Below are 21,145 nucleotides of genomic sequence, written 5' to 3' on the forward strand. Positions count from 1 at the left end.
TGTCCTCATGATAATGAGTGTGTTCTCATGAGATCTGTTTGTTTAAAAGTGTGTGGAACCTCCCACACCCTCCTTCTCTTTTGCTTCCGCTCTGGCCATGTGACATGCCTGCTCATGCTTCACTGTCTGCCATGAGTAAAAGCTCTCTGACACCTCCCCAGAAGCCAAACAGATATTGGCACCATGCTTGTGTGACTTTCAGAACTGTGAACCAATTAAACCTCATTTCTTTATAAATTACTCTGTCTCAGGTATTCTTTTATAGCAATGGAAGAATAGCCTAATACAATCTGCAAACAGATATAATTTAATTTCTTCATTTTCAATTTGGATGCCTTTATTTTTCTGGTTGAATTTTTCTGGCTAGGACTTTAAGTACTATGTTGAATACAAGTGGTGAAAATGGGCATACTTTCCTTGTTCTTGATCATAGAGGCAAATCTTTCAGTCTTTCGTCACTGAACATGATGTTCAATGTGGGTTTTTTATATGTGGCTCTTATCATGTTGGGGTAGTTTCTTACTTTTCCTAGTTTGTTGAGTGTGTGTGTCTGTGTGTGTCTGTGTGTGTGTGTTTAAACCACAAAGGGCTTGAAATGTGGCAGATGCTCTTTCTGCATCAACTGAGATGATAATGTGTTTCTTCCTCTTCTTGCTCTGCTGTGATGTATTGTATTGGTTGATTTTTGTGTATAGAACCATCCATACACTCCAAGAATAAATCTCGCTTGGTCATGATGTATAATTCTTTTAATATACCGGTGAGTTTGGTTTGCTAGTATTTCGTTGAAGATTTTTGTAGCAATGTTTATAAGGGATATTGGTCTGTAGTTTTTTTGCAATGTCTTTGTATCAAGGTAATGCTGGCTTCATAGAATGAGGAAGTGTTCCCTTTTATTTAATTTTTTTGAAAAGTTTGAAAAAGATCGGTTTAGTTGTTTAAATTTTTGGTACTATTCACCAGCAAAGTCATAAGGTCTGGGGCTTCCCTTTGCTAGGAGATTACTGATCACTGATTTAATCTCCTTACTAGTTTTAGGTCTATTCAGTGTTCATGACTTAGTCTCATAGGTTTTGTGTTTCTAGGAATTTGTCCATTTCACCTGAACTATCCAATGTGCTGGCATGCAATTGTTTATATTACTTGCTTATAATCCATTTTATTTCTGTAGACTTGATAGCAATGTCCTCACTTTCATTTCTGATTTTATTAATTTTAGACTTCTGGTTTTTTTTCTTAGTCTAGCTAAAATTTTGTCAATTTTGTTGATAATTTCAAAAATCACTTTTTCCCCTGATTTTCTAGTTTTTCCTTGATTTCTATTATTTTTCTGTTCTCCATCTCATTTATCTTTGCTCTAATCTTTATTCTTTCCTTCTGTTAGCTTTGGGGTTAGTGCGTTATTTTTCTAGTTTCTAAGTTGTAAGCTTAGACATTTGTCTTATTTTTAAATATAAGTATTTGTAGCTATAAAATTTCCCCTTAGTACTGTTTTCATTACTTCCATATGTTTGGATATGTTGTGTTTTTGTTTTCATTTGTCTTTTAAGTATTATCTAATTCCCCTTGTGTTTTCTTATTTAATCCAGTTGTTGCTTAAGATTGTGTTATTCAATTTTCACAAATTTTTGAATTTTTCAGTTTTCCTTCTGTTACTGATTTCTAATGCCATCCTATTGTGATCAGAGAAGACACTCTGTACAATGTCTGTCTTTTAAAATTTACTGAGACTTCATTTGTGGCCTTGCATATGGTCTATCCTGGAAAATGTCTCACGTGTACTTGAGAAGAATGTGTATGCTGTTGTTAGGTAGAGTGTTTGGCATGTATCTGTTAGATCCAGCTGGTTTACTGTTTTGTTCAAGTCCTCTGTTTTCTTACTTAACTTCTGTCTTTTGTCTCTTTGCTAGCATTTTTTATTTAAAGTCTATTTTTTCTGATATTAGTATAGCCAACTCTGCTCTGTTTTGGTTTACTATTTACATGGAATATCCTTTTCTGTCCTTTTACTTTTAACCTATTTGCATCACTGGTTCTAAAGTAAGTCTGTGAAGACAGTATATAGTTGGATTATGATTTTTTAAAACCATTTTGTCAACCTCTGTCTATTGACTAGGCTGTTTAATCCATTTACATTTAAAGTAATTACTGTTAAGGAGAGGTTTGATTCTGTCATTTTGTGACTTGTTTTCTATATGCCTTATAGGTTTATTTTGTCCCTCATTTCCTGTATTCCTGTCTTCTTTTGTGTTTGGTTGATTTCTTGTTTTGATAATGAAATGATTAAATTCCTTTTCGATTTTTTCTGTATATTCTTTAGCTGTTGTCTTTGTGGTTACCATGGAAATTATATTTAACATCCTGAAGTTATTACACTGTAATTTGAATTTATGCCAGCTTAACTTCTATAACATATAAAAACTGTGCTACTTTAACAACATTATACCCTCCCCTTTCTGTTGTTGATGTCATAAAATTACATCTATATATCTTGACTTCCTCAAAACATCAACTAATAATTTTTATCCATTAGTCTCTTAAATTATATAGAAAACAAAACATGGAGTTATAAACCAAAGTTATAATAATATTGATTTTTAGACCAATATATTTTAAAAATCCGTTATTCTCTTAATTCATATAGAAACAAAAAGTGGAATTACATACCATGTTAAAATAACACTAGCTTTTCTACTTACAAATATATTTACCAATACAAAGACCTTTATTTCTTTATATAGCTTCAAGTTACTGTCTAGCATCACCTCATTTTAACCTTCTGGACTCCCTTTAGCATTTCTTGAAGGGCAGATCTAGTTCTAATAAATTTTCTCAGGTTTTATCTGGGAATGCCTTAATTTCTTCTTCACTCCTTTACTTCTTTTGCAGTACAGTTTTGTTGGATACGTGATTATTGGCTGACAGTTTTTTTTCTTTTACCACTTTGAATATCTGAGCCTTCTGGCCTGTAAAGCTTCTAATGAAAAAATCTGCTGATAATCTTAGTGAGGATCCCTAGTGCATGACAAATCTCTTCTCTTCTGCTGCTTTCAAAATTCTCTCTTTGTCTCTGACTTTCAATAGTAGTATTTATAATGTGTTTTGGTGTGAGTCTTTCAGGCTCACCCTATTTGTATTTTGGTGAGCTTTTTGATGTTCATATTCATGTCATTCAACAAATTTGGGAAGTTTTTATTCATTATTTCTTCAAATAATCTCTCTGCCCCTTTCTGTCTCCCTCTTTTCCTTCTGGGGCTCTCACAATGCATACGTTGGTTCACTTGATGGTGTACCACAGGTCCCTTAGGCTCTGTTCATCTTTCTTCAACTTTTTTTTTCTCTCTGTTCCTCAGACTTAATTTTCATTGACCTATCTTTAAATTCATTAATTCTTTCTTCTGCCTGTCAAAATCTGCCTTTGAGTTCTAGTGAATTTCTCATGTCAGTCATTATATTTTTCAGCTTTACAATTTATTTTTGGTTTCTTTGCATCACTCTCTCTTTATTGATGTTGCCCTTTTGATCAGACATTATTTTCTTGACTTTCCCCAATTATTCCTTTAGTTTTTTTGATCATCTCTATGATAGGTAGTTTAAGTATCTGGCTAATGGATCCATCATTAGGTCTTTTCAGCTCAGTGTCCATTGGTTTATTTATTTATTTTCCCTTTAATGCTTAATACGTTCCTGTTGCTCTATATGCCTTGTAATTTTATTTTTGTTGAAAACTGGACATATGAATCGAATAATATGATAATTCTTGAAATCAGATTCTCCCCCTTTGCTAGGGTTGCTGGTATTTGTTTTCATGTTTTTGATTGTTGTAGGCCAACTCTATAGCAAGGATCACTCTGAGGTATAAACTTAAAGTCTTTTCTGAGCCAGTGCCTTGCCTGGAACATGCACAGTAGCTATCTAAAGTCTCCCACATATGTAGTTGCTTTTGAATGTCCTAGTTTTCAATATCTGGGTCCCAAAAAGGGAAAGAAGAAAAATTAAGGGAAGCGAAAAAAGGCATCAGCCCTTTAAATTCCCTAGGAGTCACTTCAGCTAGAGAGGAAGGTACAACAATAATGGCTACCACCTCTTTTTTGTACCTCTGTGATTGAAAACGGCAATCAGTAATCAGAATACAGATCCCAATATTTGCAGGATAGAGTCCTTTTTGCCCACCGTGGCTCCCACAAGCCATGTGCAAACCAGGAGTACATGCACAGCTGCCTGCCATGGGGCTGAAAGATGGGGAATGGGTAGTTATTACTGTGCTAAGAACTGAAATTGATTGAAATTAATCACAATTTGTGCCCCTTTCCCTGGAATATTCAGGCCTTCAGTGGACTCCAGAGTTCCAAAATAGCTACAACAGACAGATTCTGCCAATGCAATTGTTATCTATGTGGAAATACAGATTTCTCAAGCTTCATACTCTATAATCTTCCCATCAATTATATTTTAATATACCTATGTTTATAGGGAAAGAATGCCAAAAAGATTTAAAAAAATCACAGACCTTTAATAGCTCTTTGGGGATTTTTGAGCAATTTCAGTAATCTTCTAAAATAATATTTAGAATATCTTCTAAAATAATAGAGATCTTAGAAATTATAAAGACAAAAAAGATTATTTGTGTTGACATTCAATACTTTTTCTTCTGAAATTCCCAAAGTACTTACATTTAGGATATATTAGATAAATTAGGTAACGCAATGGGAAGGTAAGCTATTCTAAGTTTTCCAGCCTTGTTATTATCCAGTAATAATGCCATTCAACTTGCTGGCACTTAGATTGTCTGAGGAACCTTTCCAAATATGGTGTCATATAAATGCCATTGTAAAGCTCTACCAGAATAGCATTATCAGATTCTTCCTTCAATGCCCAGTAACAATAAAACACTTGGGGAAAAAGATCTCATTTCAGAGTCCCTGTCTCTCATCCTTCACTCTTGAGTATTCAGCTGCATCTGTCATTCTTTGTTTTTATATTTCTGTTTATTCAAATATCACATGATCCTAAAACAGAATAAATCCTGTCATCATGCAAATTCCATTTAGGACAGTACTCTCATATATGAGGTCAGGTTCATATCCCTTTATAGGCAATCAAGCTAATGTATATAGTTGTTTGTTAAGAAATAAGATTCTCGGCCAGGCTCAGTGGCTCATGCCTGTAATCTCAGCACTTTGGGAGGCCAAGGCAGGCAGATCACTTGAGGCCAGGAGTTTGAGACCAGCCTGGCCAACATGGTGAAAGCCCATGGCTCCATTAAAAATACAAAAATTAGACAGGTGTTGTGGTGCACGTCTGTAATCCCAGCTACTCAGGAGGCTGAGGCATGAGAATCACTTGAGCCTGGCAGGTGGAGGTTGCAGTGAGCTGAGATCATGCTACTGCGCTCCAGCCTGGGTGACAGAATGAGACTCTGTCACAGAAAAAAAAAAGATGAGATTCTCCCATTATTAAATGCATATGAAAAAGATCAAATAATGCATGCGATATGAGTTGTGTCCAAACCACAATCTCATGGAGGCAAAATTATCAAGACTTCAATCCGATTGGTGGCTTGCAAACTACCCTAGGCCTCCAACCCACAAATATATACAGCCTCCAACCCACAAATATAAACAGACACAGATGAAATCTGGATGCTAGGAATTCGTTTCCTAAACTTTCCAACAGCACGTACCTGAGGGACTGTATGGAAGAGATGAAACAAGAGACATGTTTAGGAGGAAGGAGCTAGTTGTTTACCAATTAATGACGAACTATCTAAAACTTCTTTGCTCTCTAAAAGTAAGACTTGTAATGTTTTCAGAAATAAATATGGGTTATTCTTAATCAGGTATATTATAAGAGTAGCTTATAGAAGGAGATATGCATTGTTTCTGCAGTGAAGGAAAAAGCATAATTTAATTTTTGACAAAATCAGAAATATTATAAGGTATATGTTCAGCTGCAGAAGCTATAATACCTTTGACTTTAGTTCTTTAAAATAAATTATAGATACACAACTATATGCACTAACAGCCTAAAAGTAAGTCATGCTGGGTTTTTTTCCATACAATTTTAATTAGGTATATTTTTTCCAATGTGTTTTGAAATGATCTGCTAGGACCAAATGCTAACATGAAATTCCCTGCATGCTGGTAGTTAATTTAATAAAAATTAGAAAGGTGAAGCCCTGTTCCCTAGAGGGAGAAGGTCTTAACACAAAACATTCATTATTTCCACATAAATTGCAAAAAGTAAAGATGCTGGATTTAAAATCTAAGCAGGAAGAAACTGTCAACTTTCATTATCAGTGGACAAATGTTTTAATTTGCAATATTCCCTAGCAACTTTTTGAACAGACAACTTTACCTCTTTACCAACATCTACTTTAATTCCTAATTTGCAGCTGCATAAGTACTATGTTGGGCCCAAAGCTTTGGGTATATCTCTTAGAGGTAATGGAATCCTTGTTGTTTTCTGGCACTGCCTCATTAAAATGAAACTCAGACTCAGGGTAACCCTGAAAAACCTAAGCCCTCCAATAAAAAATGTGGTATATCCCTGCACTTAAATTACGCAGGAGAAGTGAAGGCTGGTACATCACACACAGAAGAGAAGCTAAAGGTCAAGCTATTAGAGTTAATGAGCCGATACAAGCTCAGGCTCTCTAACCAGAGAGGTTAGGGACAGAATACATGGCCACCCCAAGGAACTTTATTTAAGATATCAATTAAAAATGAGTCACCTCTCTTCTCAGCTCCTGCACTCAACACTGACACTGGGAACAATGACTGAAGGACTCACACATGTCTGAGAAAAGGCACCTTGTGGGTGTGACTTGCCACAAAAGCAAGAGTCTTTCTGCATTTGTAAATGTGTTGGTAAGGCAACAAAAAGAATACTACTGTGCAAGGGGAGGTAGAGGTGGTGATCCTGGCAACCTAAAAGCCTGATTGTATGTTCTAATCCATTCTGATGTCACCAAAGCTCCCCTTCGAGGGAATAACCTGGATTATGGCCAATACTTTCTACTTCTAATAGTCTTCCAGTTTCATTGTTCACAAGGGGTTGGTAAACAAAAATCAATGAAAAGAGCAGGGTCTTCTCTATTTTGGATTTGGACACTGATGATGAAGCTGTGATATTCTGATCCAGGACTCAATGGCTCCTCCTGGATCTTCTAACAAGGTCAATCTGGCTGAGTTCCAGACAGTCAGCTGATGGTCTCATATGAGGAATCTAAAGTTGATGAAGATGGTGGTAGTAGAGTGGTGTAATCCTCATAGCTCAAAAACGATCAGAGCTCATTAATTATTAACTAACTAGAACTTTTATGGCTCATTAGCTACTGGTTAAATGTCAGGTAAAATGTAATATTTAATAGAAAATGTTAAGATTAGAAATATGCAGAGCATTTCTTATGTGCCAGACCTATGCTAAGTATTTCATATCCATTATTGTACTTGATCCTTACAACTCCCATGCAAGGGACCTATGTTTATCTCAATTTAACAGAGAAGAAGGCAAAGTGTGAAAAACTAAGTAACTTGTCTTAAGTTAAACAGCTAATGGAGTGGTAGACTTGAGCTTCAAACCCAGGTTTAGCCAACTCCAAGCCCATTCAATTATCACTTGATACACACCCAACCTATGTAATACTTAGCTTTGTTCTTAGTCATTGTTGCAAAGCTCATTTCACCCCTCAGTCAGGCTTATTACATTCATTCGTGTTCTCAAGAGACAAGAGGGTCTTGCCCAAAACTACAGAATATCACTATCACAAGTTGCCATTCCCACTAGAATTTACCTTGATCCCCAGTGATGCTACATGCATTATTATGTTAGTTTCTTCTTGGAGGTGTTATTTTTAAACTGCAAGATTAAAGCTCCTACAAGCTTCTGACAACATGAAAATCAGACACGACTTTGCAGTCTTTTTAAAACAAACTAGTAAGAAGGTCCCAATTAAGAGAAAAAGAGTAGTCACACATACCTGTAGAACTGATTGTAATTTACCCTTTCATCTTGCTCTAAAACACATTCCTTGAGTCTCAGTTTAGTAGAGATAAGATTCACCCAGTCGGGGGATATTAGTTCTTCCTGGATATTTTAATTAAACTGTTACATTGAGTAGTTCTGAAAATCACATATAATCATTCAAGGTATGGTGGAGTTCTGTTCTCCAGCATATGGCTCTCCACCCAGCCACATTCCATCTCCTTAGGTAAACTAGCTGGAGGCCTTCAGTGTAAGCTCTTTAATTTTTAAACTCTTGGGTGGTGCTTTGTTCTTCGGGTAGAGAGTAGAGCAAGAGAACGAATTACCAAACAGTAATATTACCCCCATCGACAAGCGGGTGGTGTTTATATCACACATACTATATACCAAGAAATGCGCCACACCTTTTACATGAATACTCATTTTAAAACAGTAAAGACTTTATATTTAGAGAAGTTTTAGGTTTACAGCAAAACTGATAGTAAGGTACGGAGATAGCCCACATATCCCCTGCCCCACATATGTTGCCTCCCATATTAACTTCCCCCCACCAGACTGGTACATTTGTTACAATTTGTGAACCTACAAGGACATATCACCCAAAGTCCATAGTTTACAAGAGGATTCAGTCTTGGTGTTGTACATTCTATGGGTTTGGGTAAATGTATAATGGCATGTATCCACCATTACAGTATCATATAGAGTAGTTTCATTGTCCTAAAAGATCCTCTGTGATCCGCCTATTCATCCCTCCCTCCCTCCTAATCCTTGGCAACCACTGATCTTTTTATTATCTCCATAATTTTGCCTTTTCCAGAATTCCATATAGTCAGAATCATGGAGCATGCAGCCTCTTTAGGTAGGCTTCTTTCACTTAGTAATATACATTTAAGTTTCCGCCATGTCTCTTCATGGATTGATAGCTAATTTGTTTTTGGCACTGAATCAGAAACCCTTGTTGGGATGTACCACAGTGTATTTATCCATTCACCCACTGAAGAATTTCTTGGTGGCTTCCATGTTTTGGCAATTAAGGATAAGACTGCTATGAACATTCATGTGTAGATTTTTGTGTGGCTATGTTTTCAACTCCTTTGAGTAAATATCAAGGAATACAACTGCTGGATCATGTTGTAAGAGCATGTAGTTTTGTAAGAAATCGCCAAACTGTATTCCAAAGAGGCTGTAATATGTTGCATTCCCAACAGAAATGAATGAGAGTTCCTGTTGCTTCACATCCTCTCTAGCATTTGGCATTGTCAGTGTTCTGATTTGGGCTCTTCTAATAAGTGTGTGGTGGTATCTCACTGTTTGAACACTCATTTTTGAAATATCCACATAGGCTATTATGATCTTCATTTTACAGTTCAAGAAGCTGAAACTCAAAGAATGTAGATATTTCAAACTGGCCATTGTAAGCTAGAGCCAAGATTCAAACTCAAGTTTGGTGAATTTCATAGCCTATACTTTCTATCATTGAGGTACATCTTGTTTTCTCAGTTGTATTATGTGATTTGCAAGTCCTATGAATAATATATTTAAATTATACCAACATGAAAACTAAGTGTAATCTTCAGTCAATAAAATATCCACTAAATACTTCAAAATATGAAACTGGAAGCTTATCTAAATGAACTAATTCTTTAATATCACCATGAAAGGATGATGTTTTAAATTAAGAAGTGAAGAATTTATAGTTTCCAGATTGAGAATAATTTCCACAAATTTTTATTTTCATCATATTCTATTGTGGGTGTGCATGTGTGTGTGTGACAGACACATATGCAGACACAGAGATATGGGGACACACACATAGACACTTTCCATCTCATGCCATGTTGGAACTTCCCAGAGACAGTTAAAATTAGCTAGCTAATTTCCATAAACTATCAAAATAAAATTATACTTATTGAGAGTCTAGAGTTCCTGTCATGAAGACTTAGCAGTTAAAAAGCATGGAAGTCATGGAATCTCAGTGCTCCTTCGTTGCAATCCACACTCCTGCTACAATTAGAATCCCACCAATAGATAAAGTCATCAGGAGCTAATTAGTCCACGTGTAAAAAATAAAAATAAGACAAAGAACAGACTTCTAAAAAAAACAAAAACAAACAAAAAACAACAACAAATCATTTGAACCATTGGGTACTTCGAGTACATGAAAATTGTGAAGTAAATTAATTAGCTTTGCATTGATTGGTATCAAAAGTCGTTAGCCCTGCACTGCAAGGAAATCCCCAGAAGCCTAAGGTGCATGAAAGAAAAAGGCTGGGAAGGAAATCAATCTCTGCTCTTCAACGCTGATGCTTTAAAGGGTCCCTGCTGTATAACTCGCCCGGAAGCATTCCAGGGGGAAGAACCCACAGATTTATATCTGCCACACGTGTCACTGAACACAAATACGTCTGATAAATAATTGAAGCTCGGTATTGTGCTTACGTCGCATGTGCAAAAAAACAGGGACAGGAAGGCAAAGAGGTCAAGTTTCCCATCTGACTTTCCAATGAGCATCCCAATCATCACTTAGGTCATTATTCTACCTCGTGAAGTGTCAGAACTCATTGTCTTAGGGAATCCAGGTGCTGGCATCACATATTTAGCAAATCTCATTTCCCTCTCTCTCACACCGCAGAGCACTCTCTAGTCCAAGCACAGTGCAGGGCAGAATCCAGAGCTTATTTTATTTAATCCTCACAATTTTGTGATTTTTACAGATGAAAAAACTGAGGTCTGGGGAATAGAATTGTTTTTCACAGGCACAAAGCTGGTAATTGGTAGATCTGGGATTTGAACCGAGGTCCAGGAAACTCTAGAGCCCATATTATTGCCATACTAGGCTCCCTCTCTAAATAACTTTCTCATTAAGTGAGCAGAGAGAGAGGAGCCAGACTGCCCTGAGGCCTTTGGTATTAATAGGAGGCTAAGAAGCTCATGCAGCTAAGTCTCTTTATCCAACGGCACATCCCTGGAAGGAGAAAATGGGCTCTGTTGGAATCCTTCCACTGACAGGAAGCTCTCTACCTCACATAACTACAGACCTGATTACTAAAAAGACTTTGGTTTGCCTTTCCAAAACTCATATCCAGTGATCACAATTGTGGCCTCTGAAGCAGTTTGATTCAATACTAATTGCACTCAGTACTTGGATCTATCATAACTGTAACATTAAACAATGTTTTCCCCTCGCAGGGTTCTTTTGAGGATACAGTGAGTATTAAAATGGGCTGGTACATAGTAAGAATTTGCCCAATGTTAATTATAAAAATTTTCCTGATATTACTTGGTAAGTTATTCTGTTAAATGGAATAAACACCCATGAATGCCACATATAAACCAACAGCTTTGACCCTCATAATGACCCCCATCTATCCATGTTGTCCTCCCCCATTTATCTTCTTGTCTCCAAGGTCATTATGTTCCTGAGTGCCAGGTTCATCTTTCTTCTTACAGGGTTTTATTGCATGTATAATTGGTCCTAACATGCTTTATAATCTAAGCTGTTTTAAATTTTATAAAAAGGATTCCATCCTTATTTAATCTTATGCTATCCTCACAAACTTATTTTCCCCCACTTGATATTTTACTATGAAGAAATTAAAAGTTACCTACAACTGAATAATAATGAAATGCTACATATTAAAATCTGTACTTATAATAGAAGATAGCCTCAATGTTAATAAGGTGTCAATCTTAAGTATACAAAAACTGAACAAAATAAGTTCATATTTAGCAAAAGAAAAACCACAATAAATATGAGCACAAATTGATGAAATAGAAAAATATTTTCTAGAAAAGATCAAAAAAGTCAAAAGTAGATTCTTTGATAAAATAATTAATAGATAAACCTTTTTTTGTTTTTTTTTTTTGAGACGGAGTCTTGCCCTGTCGCTCAGTCTGGAGTGCAGTGGCACTAACTTGGCTCACTGCAAGCTCTGCCTCCCGGGTTCATGCCATTTTCCTGCCTCAGCCTCCCAAGTAGCTGGGACTACAGGCGCCCGCCACCACGCCCGGCTAATTTTTTTGTATTTTTAGTAGAGACGTGGTTTCACTGTGTTAGCCAAGATGGTCTTGATCTCCTGACTTCGTGATCCACCCGCCTCGGCCTCCCAAAGTGCTGGGATTACAGGTGTGAGCCACCACGCCCAGCCAATAGATAAACCTTTGACAATATCGATTAAAAGAGGAAGATGTTTTGAATGAAAAAGTGAATATTTATTACAACTAAAATAATAAATGGCTATTGTCAACAACTATCTGTCAAAATTTTTAAAAATTTAGATGAAATGTATAAATGCCTAAAAATTTATAACTAACCATAATGGACCCAAGAAATAACAAAAAGTTTATATAGCCCTATGGCTATTAAATAAATTAAGGTAATTGTTAAAATTTTTTTTGCAAAGAAAACATCACACCAGGTGATTTTACACGCAAATTTTTCCCAATGTTCAAGGAAGACATCATTCCAATTTTATGCAAACTCTTCCATATGATAGAAAAAAAGAGATTATTCCCCATAGATTCTGTAAATCAGTATAACCCTGTTACTAGGACCAGGCATAAAAATCACAAGGGAGGAAAATTACAGCCTTCTCTCACAAAGGAATATAGATGCAGACCATTCTTCTTAGTAGTATACTCAATTGTAAGGCATAACAAATTTTATTTCCAATATACAAGTAGCAGTGTAACATTACAGAAAGATTTCATTAGCTTTGGAATGTACCATTTTTCTAGCTGTATAATGTAGCAATGTTATCTAATTTCTCTAAGACTCAGTTTCCTTCTTTGCAAAATGGCTTTTTATAATATCTATCTAATTCTGTGGGAATTAAGGAAGTAAACAATATAAAGCCCTTAGCTCAGAGTCTGGAAGTAACAGTAAGCAATAATAAGTTACAGCTTCTATTTATCAAGTACTTAGCTCCCCGGCTGAGTATTTTTTTTTTTTTTAACTCTCCTTTAATCCCCACAACCACCCTGAATGGTGGAGATTATGCTCAATTAGTGAATAAAGAAACTGAGTCAAGTGGAATTTCAACAACTCACCCAAAGTCACATAAGTTGCAAAAAGTCACGCTAATGTAACAATCGCAGTCTCTGAATACTGATGCCTGGGGTCCTTTCAAATGTGGAGCTGATATTACCAGCTGCTATCGGGGACACAGCACTTCCTCTGAGGGGCACTGGAGTTCCTTCCACAAGGCATGGAATGTGTTCACCTTTTCAGGGGAAGCAGTTTTCAAGTTGGGGTTTGATTTGTGACATGTGAGATTAAATTGCAGCATTTCTAATGGAAAGGCTTCAGAGGGCAGGAATGAGCGATACACTGTCATTTCTCCATCTCTGCGTGAGGAACCTTAAGCACTAATGAGATCAGATATGTCACCGCAACTCTCTCCACTCTGCCACAGATTCCAGGTCAGAATATTTTTTTTTTTAAACATTCTGGCCACTTCACTGCCTACCTGCAACTCTCTACCACGTTCCTGACATATAAGATTTATGATAATTTACCTTAGGCAGGGCTTGGAGTTTTATTCCACCAGGTTATCAAAAATGTTGCCAATAATCTCTTTCATATTTTCATAGGACAAGATTATACAAATAATATTCCACCCTATTCTTTCCCTAGAGAAACTTACATATCGATTAGACAGGGAGGCCTAACAAAGATTCAAGAGTCAGTTTGTCCTATGAGCGTGGAAAACACCACTCCTGTTAAAGATTACAGAGTGACGTCACTTATGACTATGCTGTGCAAAGTGCTGGGTTTTTTTTTTTTTTTTTGTATCCTAAGGGGCTTTATGCTTGTCTTTGTACTATTGGTGCCTTGGGAAGGAAAACAAGAATGCATTTCTCAACATTTATGTCTGCAGCGATACTGGGAACTGTGAATGCTAACATATTTTTAAAGAGCTCTGATAGAGAGAAACCAGGTGGTGAAAGAAGGTAGTGAACAAGCCTGGATACAGAAAGGTTTAGAGTAGAACTTACGGGCGCCACCTGCTGGTCCCCTGACACCACTGCCCAGAGCTTCCAGTTCCCCTAATTGGAGTCTCAGCTTTATGGCCAGTTGGCTCAGCTGAATATTATTAAATGATTTCTGTCTTCAACTATGCTTAGACACAGCCTTGGAGACAAGTAAGTAATGCAGAGAGAGTAAAAGGGAGTGAGTAGATGTCAAAGAATGGTTTGCCCATTCAACATATGTGTGACTGCTGTGAAAGGTGTATGGGAGTTTCCCACATCATCTATCAGCAAAAAGACATAAATGGTGATCTTCCTTCCTTTTCCCACCTTCTTTTTTTTTTTTTTTTTTTTTTTTTGAGATGGAGTGCTGGAGTGCAGTGGAGCGATCTCGGCTCACTCCAACCTCCACCTCCTGGGTTCCAGTGATTCTCTTGCCTCAGCCTCCCAAGTAGCTGGGATTACAGGCGCCCGCCACTACGCCTGGCTAATTTTTTGTATTTTTAGTATAGACGGGGTTTCACCATGTTGGCCACGATGGTCTCAAACTCCTGACCTTGTGATTCACCTGCCTCGGCCTCCCAAAGTGCTGGGATTACAGGTGTGAGCCATCGTGCCCAGCCTTTTCCCTTTCTTTCTTGGAGAGAAATGATAGCATCTGAGGAGGCAGGAGCGAGGGGTGTCTTGTGGAGGTGGGTAGTGATGGCAGCCTGCTCTGTAACTGAACATGCAGGGCAACGTGGGGAGAGGGGTGCTGCATGGATGGGGGCAGTGGTGTTTCTAGTGTGTGAGGAAGCAGAGCAGAGGATGAGATGTACGCAGGTGGTGGGCAGTGAAGGCTAATATTGAACAAATGAGTATATATATTAAGGATAATGGGAACCAAGTTTCTGTCAGAGAAGGTATTTATAAATGTGGAAGGGGGAAAAGACTTAGATTTGAATTGAAGATACTGATATGAATTCATGTGGCTTATGTGTAAACATATACACATACCCAGATATGGAAATAATAATAAGTGTGTGTTTGTGTGGACTTATATGTACATATTTCCTAGCTCTGTGTTGACTGGGTCTCAAAGCATTGACATCACAGGAACAATAAGCATGCTAAGCACCCAGATCTTGATTTCTAAAATCATTCTACACGGACAGGAACCAGAGCTGCTTGGAGAAGTGGCTGATTCCAAGGCTGGACAGGGACAGTATAAGATGATCCTGGAGCATCTTTTTTGTACCAGAATATAAAGAAATGCTCAAAGAATGATGGGGAGATCTGGCAAGTACCAACTGGACCAGGTGATCAAGTGGGGATACGGTCAGTGTGGTTGCCTTCTGATGTGATATGCTGAGAAGAGCTCAGCAGCGTTTTTGTGGAATTCCTGCCAAGATGGCATGGAAGAATACATGACTTGAGTCTAATAATGAAGAAACAGTGGAAGCTCCAGAGAAAGAGTCATCCTACAGGAAAAAAAGACCTATACTCTTTAAGGCAGGAAAACACGAGACAGGGAAAGAATAAAAATCCATTCCAGGCTGGGTGCTGTGGCTCACGCCTGTAATCCCAGCACTTTGGGAGGCTGAGGCGGGTGGATCACCTGAGGTTAGGAGTTCAAGCCCAGCCTGGCCAACATGGTGAAACTCCGTCTCTACTAAAAATACAAAAAATTAGCCAGGCATGGAGGTGTGTGCCTGTAATCCCAGCTACTCCAGAGGCTGAGGCAGGAGAATTGCTTAGAAGCTGGGAGGCGGAGGTTGCAGTGAGCTGAAGATCGCGTCACTGCACTCCAGCCTGGGCGACAGAGGGAGACTCTGACTCTCAACAAACAAACAAACAAACAAAACCATTCCAGATTGGAGGAAACTGATGAAAAATAATAATTAAATGCAGTGTATGTTTCTGTATAGCATCCTGGACCAAAAAAGAAAATGTCATCACTGAGACAGTTGGCAAAATGTGAATGGGGCCTGTGGACTGAATGGTAGTGCTGTATCAGTGTTGATTCCTGATTGGAAGTGTTTTTATAATAGTAATGAGAAGAGTGCTCTTGTTTTGGGAAGGTAATCAAACACCTGAAGAGTGATGGAGCATCATATCTGAAAGGGAATATCTATATATTGATCTCTCTGAATGAAAGAGAATTAAAATGTTGCAAGGTGGATAATCAGGGTGAAAGGATACCGCAGTTCTTGCTACCCTTCTGTCGGTTTGAAACAGCTTCAGAATTAAAAAAAATACTAAAAGTGCTGAGCTCTGAGAAGAAGAAAATAGCATAAGTTTAATGGGAAAATTATGTTATACATGATTAGAATCCTTCTTTGTTTTCTGAGAAGACCCTTTGTTGGGAAGAATTGATGATCAGGAATGCAAATGAGAATGGCCAAAGGACAGCTAGCTGACTTACAAAAAGAAAAAGAAGATTCGGTATAAAGAAGGAGAGAAGGGTGACCAGGTATGCAAGGAGAAAAACTGATTGCTAGATATTGAGAGAGAGTACTTGCAAACAAGCAAACAGTTGCCATAGGGAATGGAACTTGTAGGGAAAAGAAGGATGTTGGAGAAAAGTTGAATAAATTTTGAAGTGTTAGGTGTAATATAATTCTTCTGTTATTCCAAATCACCACCCATAACATCCACACCCTTCATCAACACCCTTAAGACACAGGTATTTATTTGTTTACCTTGTTTGTTTGATTTAATGAAAAGTATGAGACTGACTGGAGAACAGGTGCTTGGTGAGCACAGGGCAGTCAGTGTGTATCAGTATGTTTGTGTTTATTATGAAAAGTGAGATAAAACATCTACATAAATAGTTCTAATACAGGGTAGAACAGAATAAAAAGGAGCCACCAGAGAGTGTCAGATAAGGTGTGAGGAAACTTCAGAAAATAGAAGGAAAAAGAATATTTACATTCCCCAAGCTCCTTCTCTGAACCAGAAGGTGGGAATTATACATTGAAATAGCACGGTATGAAAATCCAGTAATGATCCATGATCCCCCAGCTAGTAAATGGCAGAGCCCAGGTCCATAGAACCCGAAAGATCTCTTTTTTTCCTACTATAGTGGGCTGCCTTGTGCCTGGGTCTGAAGAGAAGAGGAAGAAAGAGGGGAGTCTGATGGACAAAGCTCTGTGGAGGACGTGGCACTGAGCAGAAACTTGAAACAGAGCTTGACTGGCTGGCAGGATGAGAAGAATGGACTCTTGGCTGAAGGGGAAGCAAGCACAAGCACATAGAGATGAGGAAGCATGGGTGGTGGTATATAGGGTAAGTGCAATCTATTTCAAAGACAGCTAAAACACAAGATGACCCATTCCATGGCAAACATGGACACCAACACCATGTACAAAGATGATGAGGGTGAGGAAGATTGAGACGTCAGTTATACTGATTGGGAGGCTGTGGAATAGGCAGCACTGGCAATACTTCTGTGCCCTAATGTCATTCTCTGAAGCTCAAGGCCAAACCCACTGGGGCCAAACTCACACAGAAACATTTATTTTCAGACATCATTTAAGGAAGGCAACACCTGAAAGATGGAAGGGCTCAGTGCAAACTTCCAGGGTGCTATTTTTGAAAATGCAGAAACTCCCAGTTTGGAAATATTTTCTTAAAAATTTCCCCATCATTATTAGCACTTCTGCCAAATAATCACTAACTAAAAATATTCCCTCCTTGATAATGCACAGATAAGGTCTCTGCACTGAGGAGGAACAATAAAGGAAGGTGATGAATTGCAAATCAATCATAATTTATGCAGATACTCTACTGAAAATCACATTCATCACCTTTTCCAAATAGCGCCACATGAATTTCCTGAAGTACAAGAAGTCTATTTTCATAAATTAGACCTTAATTTCTTTCTCTCATCAATATATTTTTATGCCAAAAAGTTAAATAGTAAACAATACAGCTGAGGAAGAAATTATGAACTAGAAGAACATGAAACATGGTATTCAGAAGGAAAAAAAAATAGTCAAATATATTTTCTATGGCCTTTGCTTTGTGTTAAAGTGTGTGTTTTTTCCCCAAAGGATTATGTGATGTAATTGGTACTAGTTGGATGATGAATATAAACAAAAAATGCCAAATTATCACAAGATGCCTTTGGGAAAAAAAAAAACCTGTAACTGATGCTACAGTGTACCCTGCCAGTATTTTTGAAAGCAAAACTGTACTAGTTCATTTTTACACTGCTATGAAGAAATACCCATAGCTGGGTAATTTATAAAGAAAAAGAGGTTTAATGGACTCACAGCCCCACATGGTGGGGGAGACCTCACAATCATGGTGAAAGGCAAAGGAGAAGCAAAGGCACATCTTACATGGTGGCAGGCAAGAGGCCATGCGCAGGGGAGCTGCCCTTTATAAAACCATCAGATCTTGTGAGACTTACTCACTATCACAAGAACAGCACGGGAAAAACCCGCTCCCATGATTCCCACCAGGTCCCTCCCACGACACATGGGGATTATGGGAGCTACAATTTGAGATGAGATTTGGGTGGGAACACAGCCAAACCATATCAACAATCATAACAGCAATCAGCCAGCTAAGACCAATGACCATCCAGCAAGACTCACTTGCTATTTCTCTGTGTTATCTATGTCAAATGGCACCTTTTTTCTTAGCATCCCGTTTGTAGAAGAGCAGACACAGAGAATGTTTCACAGGTCCCCATTCTGGGGATTATTGGCTGGGTATTTAAATATACTTTTCTTAGGCTGGGTTCCTCTAAAGCAAACCCTGAAGACAAGACTTTGAAGGCAAGTAGTTGATTTAGAAGGTAATTGCAGAAATCACCACTAGTGGAGTGAGGAAGTAAGATCGGGAGGGAAGAAAATGTGTGTTATTAAACATGTGATTGCTGTGGGCAAGAGGGACTCCGTTTCACTGGGAAACACTATAGATACGTTTCCCAGTTATTCCTCCACAAGAGCAAAGGAGCCTGGGTACTTACTCACCAACTTCCATGAGTCATTCTGATAACTGCTACCAAGGGGTGACGGGGTAGGATGTGGGCTGGGAGATTAAATTCCTAGCACTTTCAGGCTAGTTTGCACTGCACAAACACGAAGTAGACACCAGTGACTAGAAAAAGACAACAGCCAGAATGTAATAGTATTTAAAGATGGAAGCCAGGGGACAATGTGTAGAGGAATAGTCCTATCCGAGGAATAGTCCTATCCAAGGAATACGGGCAGTACACTGCAACAGGGCCCTTTTAAGGTGAGATATTTAGAAACCTGGGTCAATGCTTGTCTCCATGCCAATGCAGTTACCCACTCCCTCTCAGCCCCAGCCACTCTACGATAAAGTCTTAATGAACATCAGAGGGACGTTTCAGGGCCTGCTTTGTGACGCACATCACCCCTTAGACTACTCCAGTGCTCACTGATGTCCCAAATAACAAGTCCTCTAAATTATTGGTGGTTTGGTCTAATTATCTGCTGAAAGCATTCAAAACCATTGGGTATCCCTGAAGGAGAAAGTCACAATGCTGCATAAGAAGAAACAACGCCTGCAACGGATAACTTATTTGCTGTCATATGATCCTATAGCATCCTACAGATCTCCTTCCATTAGCATCCATCACATCTGTAATTATTTCCTTTTCATTATCTGTCTTCCCTGAGTGACCATAAACCCAATGAAGCCAGAGACCATGCATGATTATTCATTCACAGCTCTACTCCCTGTGTCTAGCTCATAGTAGGGAGTCACTCAATACTTCTGAATATGAAAACAAGTGAATGAATTAAGATTATTACCGTCATCCAGCAGGCAAAATGGATTACATAGCTAAGGGTCTGTTCTTCTGAAGTACCTTCTTATAAAGGATAAAAAAAGGTGCTCCTTCTTCCAGGCAGATGAAGCTCTGAGCCAGAGCTCATTGCTTAACCAAAGCATTGCAGCTCAAATTCAGCTCCTGCTCACCCATTGGCAAGGTGCCTGCGGTAGTTTTAAGAGCCATCAACAAATATTTCTAGCTTGTCTTCTTCCTGCTGAATGAAAAGTTTGCCCTTCCCTGCTCCCTTGAAATTAGATGTGGCCATGTGGCTTGCCATGGCCAATGAAGGAAAACAGATATGATCCCATTCTAGGTGGAAGCCTTTATGAGTTCGTGCACAATTTACCATATTTGTTTCTTTCTGCCATGACAACCAGCAAGATCGCAGATGGCAGACAGTGATCGGCCTATATTCTTAAAAGGAAGAGACATATACACAGTACCTAGCTAACCCACAAAAGGCATATGATATGTTTTGGCTGTGTCCCCACCCAAATCTCAACTTGAATTGTATCTACCAGAATTCCCACATGCTGTGGGAGAGACCCAGTGGGAGGTAATTGAATCATGGGGGCTGGTCTGGCCCACGCTATTCTTTCGATAGTGAAGAAGTCTCACAAAATCTCATGGGTTTATCAGGGGCTTCTGCTTTTGGTTCTTCCTGATTTTCTCTTGCTGCCACCATGTAAGAAGTGCCTTTTGCCTTCCACCATGATTCTGAGGACTCCCCAGCCATGTGGAACTGTAAGTCCAATTAAACCTCTTTTTCTTCCCAGTCTTGGGTATGTTTTTATCAGCAGCATGAAAACAGATTAATATAGCATGTTAGAAATATACTTGTATTGTTTAAATATTGGCGCTCTTCATTCCTGCAGCATATCTAGCCCACTCTGGCTGATCTAGTATACAACCCGCAGCCCTATATCCTGTGGCCCTGGGCAGGTTAACACGACTTGCAGTTTCTTTGTTCTCATGAACTGGTGTTCATGTCATACCCTCATGCATGCATTACCCTCTCTCTGCACACAACGTGGGCCTCTAAGAAGCAATGCTTTTCTGTGGAAGAAGGAAGAGGGGGCATTCAGACTTAACCCTTTCTGCCTAAAAGGCCCTTCTGAAATTATATGAAAGAGAGAGAGAAAAAAAAAAAAACATTTTGCATGCTGTTCATTTAGAAGGGAGGCCTAATTCTTTCACCTTCCTATAATCTCCAGAGCAGTTCCTATACCATCAAGGCTGCCTCTCCTGAGGGGGCCAGAGCTTCAGGCTCATAATTAGTTGTATTACTACTACTGTCACTGCTAATTAATGATCCACATTCAGCCTAAATTGAAACTGCCCATTTCTGACTCCTCCACTCTAGGTCAAATAGATGGTTCCTTATTTTCAAATTATGTA

General features: G+C 38.5%; 1 protein-coding gene and 1 long non-coding RNA gene across 11 annotated transcripts in view; one reads left to right on the top strand and one right to left on the bottom strand.

Moving 5' to 3' along the window:
• Positions 1–21,145, bottom strand: part of FHIT (fragile histidine triad diadenosine triphosphatase) — a 1,504,176-nt gene that overhangs the window by 96,670 nt on the left and 1,386,361 nt on the right. The gene's annotated exons all lie outside the window — the stretch shown is intronic.
• The window catches only part of LOC105377113 (uncharacterized), a 70,563-nt gene continuing 56,505 nt past the window's right edge, over positions 7,088–21,145 (top strand). Inside the window, exons 1-2 of one of the 3 annotated variants that reach the window (XR_007095936.1) lie at positions 7,088–7,176; positions 17,021–17,223. This is a non-coding gene — a long non-coding RNA (uncharacterized LOC105377113). Of the gene's footprint in view, positions 7,177–7,251; positions 7,352–8,814; positions 8,846–17,020; positions 17,224–21,145 lie in introns of those variants that run through there. The other 2 variants (XR_940887.4, XR_007095937.1) reach the window with 2 other exon arrangements.

The sequence above is a fragment of the Homo sapiens genome, chromosome 3 (genome assembly GCF_000001405.40).
Source record: "Homo sapiens chromosome 3, GRCh38.p14 Primary Assembly".
In the NCBI taxonomy this organism is placed as follows: Eukaryota; Metazoa; Chordata; class Mammalia; order Primates; family Hominidae; genus Homo; species Homo sapiens.